The sequence below is a fragment of the Homo sapiens genome, chromosome 7 (genome assembly GCF_000001405.40).
Source record: "Homo sapiens chromosome 7, GRCh38.p14 Primary Assembly".
NCBI lineage: Eukaryota > Metazoa > Chordata > Mammalia > Primates > Hominidae > Homo > Homo sapiens.
In genome coordinates, this window is record NC_000007.14 from 92292265 (window position 1) to 92304566 (window position 12302).

General features: G+C 33.3%; 1 protein-coding gene across 1 annotated transcript in view; it reads left to right on the forward strand.

The window, feature by feature from the left end:
- ANKIB1 (ankyrin repeat and IBR domain containing 1) overlaps positions 1-12302 on the forward strand; it is a 155410-nt gene that overhangs the window by 46291 nt on the left and 96817 nt on the right. The window contains exon 2 of the mRNA NM_019004.2: positions 2625-2902. Within this exon, the coding sequence (NP_061877.1) occupies positions 2715-2902 (188 nt within the window). The 5' untranslated portion in view covers positions 2625-2714. The remainder of the gene's footprint in view (positions 1-2624; positions 2903-12302) is intronic.

Here is a 12302-nt window from a genome sequence, read left to right on the forward strand (position 1 = left end):
AAATGAAACAGATATGAAAATAACTGAAAGCCACAAAATGACTTCTCAATGCCATTATCCTTTTCAACAGAGTAACAGTAATATTTAATGCACATTTAGAGTATTATAGATTTTTTTTAAAAACTTGTTGCTTTAAATGAGTACTCCATGATAACATTACTTTCTTAGATATTTCTTTTTTTTACTTCTTAGATACAAATTATTTTTCTTATAGAATATTTCACTAAAGTAGTAATATAAATCTCAGAAAATGTGCTATTTATTAATCTAATCCAGAACTTTGGAAATGTTTATAATTTGTGTTTTATTCTATCAAGGACCAAAACAACTGAAAGTTTCCCAATAGTAGCTGTAGTATATTGTGTATAGTATGGGAGAGAAGGATTTGCTCCTCTTATTGGATGAAACAATAAAAGTATAATATTTTAGGCTAAAGGTTTAGCAACCCTCTGAAAAATTAAATAAAAACTTAACTATGTCATATGATCCAATTAATATATACATGTTTATGTTGTGTATATGCATACATATTTTATACACACAAACACACACATACACCTTTAAATAGGGTGGTTATGTATCAAAATGCTACCAGTGGTTTTCTTGCAGTAAACCGTGAGGTAAACCATGAGCTTTTAAATTCTTTCTCTTTGTTCATATATTCAAAAAGCTCTACTGTATGTATGTATTTGCATATTTAAAATTAAAAAAATCAATAATAACGCTTAAAAAACCCAAATGGTGACCTCATTACATATAGTAGTGGGCCAGCAAATGTGCTGCTATAGTAAGTAGGTAGTTAATGCCTACCTCCAGAATAGGCTTGGCAGACATCTTACTCTGATACTTAGCTGCAGGGCACCAGAAGCCTTTTATACAGTGGTGTCTGCACATTGAAAATCACATAAGGAGCTTAAATACCCGTGCCTGGGTGCTTCCCCTAGAGACTCTGATTTTTGTTATGAGATGTAGTTTGGTCAGTAGAACTCTGAAGTTCCCCAGGTTATTATACAGCCAAGGTTGAGAACTACCCTACACAAAGCCTATGTCGAACACTGTGCATATTATTTTCACCTGTGTTTGTTGTTGTTATTGTTGTTGTTTGTTTTGAGATGAGATCTGGCTCTGTTGCCCAAACTGGTTTCAAACTCCTGGGTTCAAGTGATCCTCCTGCCTCACCCTCCCGAATAACTGGTATTATAGGCATGTGCCACCACACCCTTCACCTGTTTTTTAAAGCTATGTTTTAGTGTCCAGCCTCCCACTGAATTAATAGAGTAACATGAAAGACTGTTGTATTCTCTGCCTCTAAGTTTTCCTCCCTCTATTCTATCTTCTACATTGTCACAATAATTTTCTAAAGCATGAAATAATTATATCATTGCCCTGCATAAAAGCCTTTAATTATCTGTTCTTTTCAGGTTAAAGTGTAAGTTCCTTATCTGGTCCCAACCTATTTTTTCTTTTATCTCTTGTTAATCTAATGCTAGAGACTCTGAACTCTATTCATACTTAACTGTTCCTTGTGTAGGCCTTTTTTTCATACCTGCCTTTGCATATGCTGTTTTCTTTGTCACTAATTTTCATCATAGCTCAAGAATAGATCCAGAAACAACGTTTATTGGAATAGAATGAAACTAGCATTTATTGGACTCATTAACTAAGGACTGCAGTAGGTACTTTAAGTAACTCTTATAATCCTCACAGCCATACCTAAGAAATGGTCATTTTCCATGCTGTACAGATGGGAATCTGAGGCTTTTAGGGGATGAATAACTTGCTTAAAATTACATAACTAGTTGTAGGCAAATACGGTATTTTGAACTTCATGTCCAGTGTTTGTTTCTATGACCTTCCCCCACCCACTTCACATTGCTTCAGTAGTAAATAAATTAGCAATCACATTGCCCATGTGATGATTATCATAACCTCTTTCCAGACATAGTATGCATAAACATTTGATGTTTTCAGACTTAAATTCTGTATAGCAGAAAGAAATAAATTTAATGGTCTTAAATGGTAGAATAATCACTGTATTGTTCTGTGTATTATCAGTTTTAGTACTTTTCTGTGATAATCTAAGTATCATTGAATTGTGTATTCCTGTATGTTTACATTTTAAGTCTTTTCTGTGATGTCCTCATAAAGTACTGAGCAGTTTCACTTTTCCTTTACTGCATTTTAACGCCTCTTCTGCAGTTCTTGTTTGGGCAAAATTTCCTACATTTTTCACTATCCCACAAATTGGCTGAGTAAGATTTATACATAATTTATACAGAAATTTAAGTGTTTTCAACCATAAAATTCAGTCAAGCTCATTTTCTGCCATGTGAAGAGGAAAATTGAAAAGTTTTATATATAGATAATTTTTGTAATCCGAAGGACTGCCTGTGAAACCTTAACAGTCTCTGTGTGGGAAAGTGTTAAAGTTTAACAATAAGTTAATTTGGACAGTGTTAAAAATTTGAGATTTTTTTGGCTGTTAAGATAAATTTGGTAAAATGTAATATAGTTGGTTCCCTTATCGATGATTCCCAGATTTTTTTTAGTGTTCCTAATTGTGTTATTGTTTCTTTTGTGATTATTGTTTTACAATCTAATTTGAATAACTTTTCCTTCATTAGAATGTGAAAGATGTTGCAGAAGTGTTCCAGAAGTGGCTGAAGATAGAAGGAAAAAAGTGCCACTGCCTATCAGAAAAAACAAAACAAAACATGGGAAATACAACCACCAAATTCCGTAAAGCACTCATCAATGGTGATGAAAACCTGGCCTGCCAAATATATGAAAACAATCCTCAGCTAAAAGAATCTCTTGATCCAAATACATCTTATGGGGAGCCCTACCAGCACAATACTCCATTACATTATGCTGCTAGACATGGAATGAATAAAATATTAGGGTAAGTATTACTATAAACTAATTGGTATTAGGGTATTACCGTAAACTAATTGGTAACAAAGTGGTGAAAAAAAAGGAACTATGATTTTTGAAAATACGGACATATACAGACATGATATATATACAAACATGTACATGTAATATGGTTTTATAGTGAATTAAACTTTCTAAAACCAAATATACCTAAATATTTGATATCATTTTCTTTATTATGATTTAGTCAAATTTTCTTTATTATATCTGAATTAGTCCAAAGCTTTTAATGGTGAGGTTGGTTCATGTGTTCTTGTTGCTATAAATATATTTTGATCCTCATTATGTTTCATAGTATGAATTCTTGATAATAATGTATTTAATTTACAACATTTCAATTCTAGAACAGTACTTGTCAGCTGTCAAAAAAATGCAGGGAATGGTGCCAAAGGCAAAGTTCCAAACTCTGATTAGCTATTTTTAGTTAAAAAATGGGTGCATTTGCCTTTTCTAGTCATGATCAGTTTGAATTTCCTTTCTTTTAATGGGATTCAGTTACTTGAAAAGATGTTTCTAAAATCCAAACATTTTCTTAAAACTGAAAATACTAAGAAACTTTAAAAAATACCTATTCAACGAGGAAGCTTTAGTGACATAGCAAATCTATTTATATGAAGATTCTTACCTAATCACATGGGAATTACATTTGATATTTACTAGCTTATAAAATAAAGGGAACAAAGAATAGACCAGTAGCTACAAAGCAAGGTTAATTTTTTTAGAAGTAGATTATGCAGGTATAGGAGTCTGATGCTGGAAGAGAAAGGAAAAAAATGCTTATTTTCTTATGCAGTGAAATATAATTCTAGAACTAGTATTCAGAGCTCTTTGGAACTTGATTAAAAAAACTTAACGTTCAGCCTTTTTCCTGTTTCTTCCGTGTACAAATTATTGTTCCAATTAAGCTGCTTTTTTTGCTATCTCCAAAACATGCCGTGAGGTTTCTGTCTGCCATGTCCATGCTGTTCTCTTGGCCAGGAGTATCCCCCTCTTTCTCACTCCTCTCCCTTTTCCCTCTCTTACCTAATTTTTTTTTTTAATAGAAACGGTGTCTTGCTCTGTCACTCAGGCTGGAGTGTAGTGGTGTGATCATAATTTGCTGTAACCTCATACTTCTAGACTCAAGCTATCCTCCTACCTCAGCTTCCCAAGTAGCTAGGACTACAGGCCTCGGCCACCATAGCCAGCTAATATTTTGTGTGTTTTTTGTAGAGCTGGGATCTTGCTGTGTTGCCCAGTCTAGTCTTGTACTCCTAGCCTCAAGCCATCCTCTCACTTGGCCTCCCAAAGGGTCTTTTTTATCTAAATTTTGCTCTTCAAGATCCTGTGTGTGCCACATCTATCTACTTAGATTGTCATAACCCATGGGAACCTCTCTCTTTTTAAAAAACTTTTAAGGCTCTTTATCATTTGTTTGTTTGCCTCACGTATTTGCTATATATTACCTATTATATTTTACAATTTTGTATAGCTTCTCTCTGCCTACCTATATTAATAACTTTTTTAAAGGTATCTTTGTACTTCTAGCATCTAGCATAGTATTTTACACAGAGTAAATAGAAGTTCTATAAAATCATTACACAAAGAAATATTTTTATTATCAGAATTTATGAATGAGAAAAATTTCATAAATAATTTAGGTCATCCAGGCCTATGACTTAATTAGGTTTATCTTGATTTTTATAGGTATTTCTTTTATCTAATTTTTTTGCTTCTATCTTTCATTTTTATTTCTCTAAAAATAGATACTTAGAAGCCACCTCCAGCTTAGTTGTTTGAAATTTTATATTTTCCCTTCCAAAACTGGGTCTTCCACATGTTAATGACACCAGCATATCATGCTGATATAATAATGGCAAATGTTTATTGAGGGCTTACTGTTTAATAGAGCTATTAACAGTGCTGTACATGCATTATCTGAATCCTCATTACAATTTTATGAGGTAGTTTATTGTCTGTATTTTATAGGTGAGAAAACTGAAGCACAGTAAGGTCTCACAACTTGTAACTGGCGAAGCTTGTTGCCCAGCTAGACGACTGTAAGCTTTGGGCTCTTAACCACTGTACTGACAGCCTCTTATTTCTATAGTCGTATCAGCTTATGTGTCAGGGCTGCCTGTCACTTATTAGCAAAGCAAATTACTTTGTCACTCTGGACTGCAGTTTTCTTATCTGTATAATGGATATTTACCTCACAGAACTTGTAGAACAATTAAACAGTTAATGTGTTACATGTCTATTATGCTGCCCAACATACAATATACACTTGCTAATGTTTATTATTTCTCACCGCTATAATCCTTAATATCTTTAAATCATCCTTGATTTACTCTTCTTTACCACCATGCTGCTAAGTTCACTAAGTCTTACTCTTGGATTTACTTCTTTCCATTCCTTTTGCCCTAAACTTATTTCACTCTTAATCATCCCCTGCTCCTAACACTTAAAAGTATCTGGCATCTAAATGGTTTTTTTTTTTACAAGTCTCTTCTTATAGTTTAATGTCCAGATTAATTTTACTAAAGCATAGCCTTTCAGTGTTCTTTCTGTCTTGAGAAAGTTATAATACCTTGTTTTCTACATTATATTCTATTTGGCTTCCAAAACTCTCTTTACTTCTGGCTTCATTCTACTCAGTTAGCCTATTCTCTTGTTACTTTCTAACATGATCTTGCCATTCAAACTGGTTGATTGACTTCCCTCTTGCTTTTCCCACTTTTAAGAATGCCACCCACTTAGCTTCATTCCGGTTGTTTCTGGATTCTCAAATGGCTTCTCTCTTCTCTAATTACCTGTCCTTTAAGTCCTAACTCTGTTTCTGCCTTCTTTGTGAATTCATCCCCAACTACTCTGACCTCCAGTATTCTTTCTGTTCTCTGAAATTCCTACAATTTACATTTAAAATCATATTATTATTATTATTACTAAACTCATCTCTACTAGAATGTAAATATTATAAATACAGTGCTAGACACCTAGTTTGTTCTCAATAGATTGTGGATTACTAATCTATTAAGGCTTTTTAACATGATCTTTTTGTTTTGCTTATTTAAGTTGAACATTTTAAGTGAAATTATAAAACTGTTGATATATTACAAAACTCCTAATATTGGATACTTCAGTAATATTTAATATCAAATATTATATGTGATTAATTAAAACTTATTTATAATACCAATATAAAATGTATTTAAGTATTATTATTACTAAGGTAATGTGTATATTTTAACATAAACCAAGTGGTAAAATACTTTTTAACCCCTTATAGTAGAGTTTACAAATATACTTTATATAAATGGAAAACATATAAGTAAGTCATTTAGTCCAGTGATTCTTAAAATGTGTTCTGAGGACTCCTGGATCCAGAGACTCTTTCAAAGGGTACATGAAGTCAAAACTATTTTTATAATTATACCAAGATGTTATTTGCCTTTTATACTGTGTTGGCATTTGCAGTGGCAGGACAAAAAATAGAGGATAAAACTGCTGGCACCTTTAAGATGAATGAAGGTAGTTGTACCAAACTGTATTAGTAATCATTGTATTCATCACTGTTAGGCACTTGCAGTTAAAAAAAAAAAAAAAAAAAAGCAGTTTCCCCTAAAAAAATCCTCGATTAAAGCAGTAAAATTAATTTTAATTAATCTCCACCCTTAAGTAACACATCTTTTTAATATTCTGTGACAACTTCAAGGTATGCATAAAGCATTTCTGCTACATACCAGAATACGACGATGGCTCTGAGGAAGCACACCTGTGCTGTTGTTTGAGTTGTGAGTTGAACTGCGTACTTTTTTAATGGAACAGCATTTTACAACTAGCAATAACAAGAAAACAATGGTTGTTTAGACTTGGGTACTTAGCCAACATTTTCTTGAAAATGAATTGAGTCTGTCACTTCAGGGAAAACTACTGCCAGTTATTTGTTGCTAATGATAAAATTTGAGCTTTCAAGTGATTATTAAAATCCAGGAAAACTTGTATTCACTACCTTCAGCTCAACAACTTCTCAACACAGACTTTTCTGATAAGATTGATGATGATAGCTTTTTATATTGTTTAATGAAATGTGACATCTGGAAGATCTGCGTAACTCAGTAAATCAATATTTTTGAGAAGATCAGTGTATGATTTTTAAAAATTATGTATGGGTGAAAGATATATTCAAAATGTAAGATAGACCAATGGACTTTAATGTAACAGTACAAAAAGGTCATTGATATCATTTCAAATACTACACTGCAACTAATCTTTAAGAAATTACCGATGTTGAATTTTTGGTATAGTATCAAATATGAATATTCACTATTATCTGAGACAGATATTTAAAAACATTTCTCACTTTCCTAACTATATAAAGGCTGGATTTTCTTTATATAGTTAAATCAAAACAATACATTACAACAGATGGAATCCTGTGAAAATCCAGCTGTCTTCCATTAGACTAGACATTAAAAGAGATTTGTAAACATGGAAAAACAATGCCGCTCTTTTCACTTAATTTTTTAAAATGTAGTTATTTTTATTTAAACATGTTGTTAATATATAATGGGTTTATTTTTAAAATTAATGTATCCATATAAACAAAAACTCTTAGGAACCTACAGTAATTTTGTTTTTTTTTCTGAGACAGGGTCTTGCTCTGTTTCCCAGGCCGGAGTGCAGTGGCACAATCACAGCTCACTGCAGCCTCGACCTCAGGCTCAAGCAATTTTCCTGCCTCAGCCTCCCAAGTAGCTGGGACTACAGGCATGTGCCACTATGTCTGGCCAATTTTTTTTTAATTTTTTGTAGAGATGGGATTTCGCCATGTTGGCAGATAGATCTTGAACTCCTGAGCTCAAGCAGTCCACCCTTCCTCGGCCTCCCAAAGTGTGGGGACTTACAGGCATGAGCCGCCACACCTGGCCAGTAATTTTTAAAATCGTATAAGGGTCTTGTTAACCTAAAATAATATAAGAACTGCTGATCTGGTTCCTCCAAGCAGAAATATGTCTGTCTGTCCCTGTCATGTGGTTATCATTCTATTGAATGCGTATTTAAAGACCTACAGGAAATATGATTGTATATTCTCTTTTACTTACCAGTTTGGATTATTTTTATGATACTTAACTTTATACTTATGTTTTTACAACTTCTACCAAAAGTCTTTGGATATTTTCTTTTTTCTTTTCTGGTTTGAAGGACAATGGCTCATAATTTTTTAATTAAAGCTTTTAACATATTAAGCTAGAAACAAATTACCTTATTGTTCTCATTTCCTGAGAATAAACAACCCTAATTCTTTAATCATATATTCTTTTGTCTTTGGAAATTTATTTAGATAGTACAGAGAGAATCACAAATCAGTTTTTTTCCAGGTTTATTTAGGTATAGTTGACAAATAAAAATTGTATATATTTAAGGTATACAATGTGATGTTTTAATATATATATATACATTGTGAACTGATTATGACAGTCAAGCTACTTAACATATTTATCTCCTCAAATAGTTTTTCTGTGTGGCGAAAATACTTAAATTATACTTTTGTAGCAAATTTCAAGTATATAATATATAATTATTAACTATAGTTACCATGCTGTTTATTAGGTCTCCAGAACCTAATTCATCTTCTAACTGAAAATTTGTACCCTTTGACGAACATCTCCCCATTTTCTTTACCCCTGACCCTGGTTAACCACCATTCTAGCCTCTGTTCCTGAGTTCAACTTTTTAAAATTCTACATATAAGTGAGATCTTGCACTCATTTGTCTTTCTGTGTATAATGCACTGAACTTAGCAAAATATCCTCTAGGTTCATCTATGTCGAAAATGGCAGGATTTCCTTCTTTTTTAAGACTGAATAATATTCCATTGTATATATGCCACATATTCTTTATCCATTCACCCACTGATGGATATTTAGGTTGTTTCTGTATCTTATCTTTTATAAATAATGCTATAGTGAACATGGGAGTACTGATATCTCTTCGGAGTTTGTGATTTTATTTCCTTGGATGTATACCCAGAAGTAAGATTCCTGGATCATATGGTAGTTCTGTTTTTAATGTTTTACTCAACTTCTGTACTGTTTTCCATAATGGTTGTACCAATTTACATTTCCATGAGCAATGTACCAGGGTTCCCTTCCTTCCACATTTTTGCCATCACTTACCTTTTTTTTTTTGATAATTGCCATGCAAACAGGTATAAGGTGATACTTCACTGTGATTTTGATTTGCATTTCTGTGATTATTGGTGATGTTGAACATTTTTTATATGACTGTTGGTTATTTGTATATCTTGTTTGGAAAAATCATCCATTTAGGTCCTTTGCCCATTTTTTAATTGAGTTATTTGTTTTGTGCTATTGCATTTTATGAGTTCTTTATATAGTTTTTATTCTATTTTTCAGGTGTATGGTTTGCAAATGTATTTTCCAGTTCTACAGGTTGCCTTTTCATTTTGCCAGATTATTATTTTAAATGATTAATTGATTTTGGAATAAGAAATTAACTTTCTTATACTTTTACATCATGTCTAATAAGGATAAACAGCATTTACTCATCAGCATTAAGTAAAATAACTTTTATTTAATTATTTTTGTTTTAGGCAGGTTAAAATGTTGTGTTAGATTTAGTCCTACTTTACTTTCTCACAAGTTGATGACTATTACTTTCTCATGCTGCCTCATATAATCTGGGATGCCTTTCTGAGACTTCATTGTAGACTGTAGCTGAGCTTGGCTAGATTCCTTTTTTCTTTTTTTTTTTGAGACGGAGTCTCATTTTGTCACCCAGGCTGGAGTGCAGTGGTGTGATCTTGGCTCACTGCAACCTCTGCCACCAGGGTTCAAGCAGTTCTGCCCCAGCCTCCCAAGTAGCTGGGATTACAGGTGCCTGCCACCACCCCTAGCTAATTTTTGTATTTTTAGTAGAGATGTAGTTTCACTGTGTTGGCCAGGCTGGTCTGGAACTCCTAACCTCAAGTGATCCACTTACCTCAGCCTCCCAAAGTGTTGGGATTACAGGCGTGAGACACTGCATCCGGCCTAGATTCCTAATATATGATGTATATATGTAGGCAAAGGTAGATATTCCTAGTCACGGACCTTTTAGCTATAAAGTAAAGCACCTGTTTGGAATAAGACCTTGATTTTTTTCCCCATTTCCTTTAGCTATATGGTATCTGCAATAGCAGGCATCACTTTCTTCGTTTCTTAGGTAGAATAATATGGTAATAGATGCACCTTTGCATCTCTCTCTCTCTGAACCCACATGCTATGTGGTTATATTATATCACATCACAATCACACTGCCTCTTTTGTGGGAAACTAAATCCATACTCACAGCTACTGCTTAATGTATAAAAAAGCCGTGGACTTGGAGTCAGTGTGTTCTAATTTGGATATATAATTCATTAGTTGTATCTTCTATAAAACAGCCTCTTTTGCTTATTTGGAAATAAAATAGAAAATATTTATTAGAGCCTGTCTTTATTAGAGCACATGTTAATATCAAAGTCTGTAGCTTTGAGGATTAGTTAAGATAGAATTTCCAGTTATTGATTTCTGTTTTTTGACTGTTTTATATTTTAGGAGCTAAGTTCTTTTCAATAAATTGAAATACAGGTCTCCTCTCCCAACCCCCCTTATCTTGCATGCAAACCCCGTAGGGCAGGGACTTTATCTGTTTTCTTTACAATATCCCTAACTTCTAGAATAGTACCTGGCAAATAATGAATGCTCAGTCAATGTTGCATGAAAGAGGATATCAAAGGAACTGAAGGTTTAAGTATATTTGACTGGTGGAATAAAAAGAGTTATTGCAAGAAATTGAGGCTCTGGGAGAAAAGACAGTTAGTTCAGAGAGAGTTCACTTGAGTATGAGTGCAAGAGAAAGGCCTATAAGATTTAAGAATGTGGTATGGGGTCAGATGAGAAGTCATATAGGATGATAGAGCATTAAGAATTATCACAGAAGTAACACAAATTGAGCATCTCTTATTCAAAATGAGTGGGAATAAATTGTTTCAGATTTCAGATTTCTTTGAATTTTGAATATTTGCATTACACTTACCTAGTTGAGCATCCCACATGCAAAAATTTGAAATCTAAATGCTCAAATGAGCATTTTCTTTGAGAGTCACATTGGCACTCAAAACATTTCAGATTTTGGAGCATTTCAGATTTCTGAATTAGGGATATTCAATCTATAGTAGAAGCCCTTTGAGGGAAACCTGTGATTCTGCCACTACTGCCTGTCATTTGAATTCTGGTCATACTTCCCAATTTACAAAGTGTATTCACCTAAACCATTGAAAGAGAAATGGCTTTCAGAGTGGATGGACTCTCTGAAAGAAGACAGTGTGTATGGAGAAAAACATGGGGGTCAAGAACTGAAACTTGCTTCCAGTAACGGGGTAGGAAGTAGAGCCATCATCATGGGTAAAAGAGAAGTTGTTGTACTGAAAAAAATTAAGAGGATTATTGAAAAAGTGTGATTACAGAAGCCAAGGTAATAGAAAGGTCAGGAGGTAAATGAAGCAGTTGGTAATTTAAAGTTTAGAACAAAAATTAGGGACAATGATGAATAAGTTAGCTCTTAGGAAATTCCTGGTTACATGAGAGAGTGAAACTTCCATGTAGTGATAAGAATAGGGTCATATGGAAGTGGAGAATGAATGTAGAAGAAATAGAGGTAACAGCTATAAACTGGCTGCTTAAGAATTAACAGTGAAAGAATCTAGAAAAGCACGTGGCTCCTGGATGGGTTATTAGGGTCACATGAAAGGGATGGATTTTTTCCCCAGGTTAATGTTTTCCCTACCCCACCTTCCTGTTAATTATCTCCTATCCCTGTTCCAGAATTAACTTCATATGCAAGTAGTTAAAAAAAAAAACCCATAACTACTAACATAGTTACAGAAAGGGGTCTAAAACATACATATCGATTTTATACTCATTATTCCATTTATACATTTATGTAAATTTAGGAAGAGTCTCCTTTGAATTTAAACAGATGAGAGGAATCAATAAAATTAGAATATTCAATTTTATGAATAGTTTTAGCATAAAATATTTATGCAGATATGCTACTGTGTCTAATAATTTGAGACTCTTTCTTGAATAAATATGTATAAAGAAGTTATTTTAATACTTCAGAATAATACACTCTCTGTGTTTGGTTTGATTAATGAACCCGGCGGATTGGCAAGAGAGTGTCTCTCTCTTCTCTATATGGGGAGGATCTAGAGATATTTAATACTAGAGAGAGCGAGCTTGGTCCTTCCATATCAGCTGACATTCTCTCAATTTATGTTAAATTTCTTTGTGATAAGAACCTGAACTCTCCTGAGCAAACTAAGAGAATAACTGATATATTGG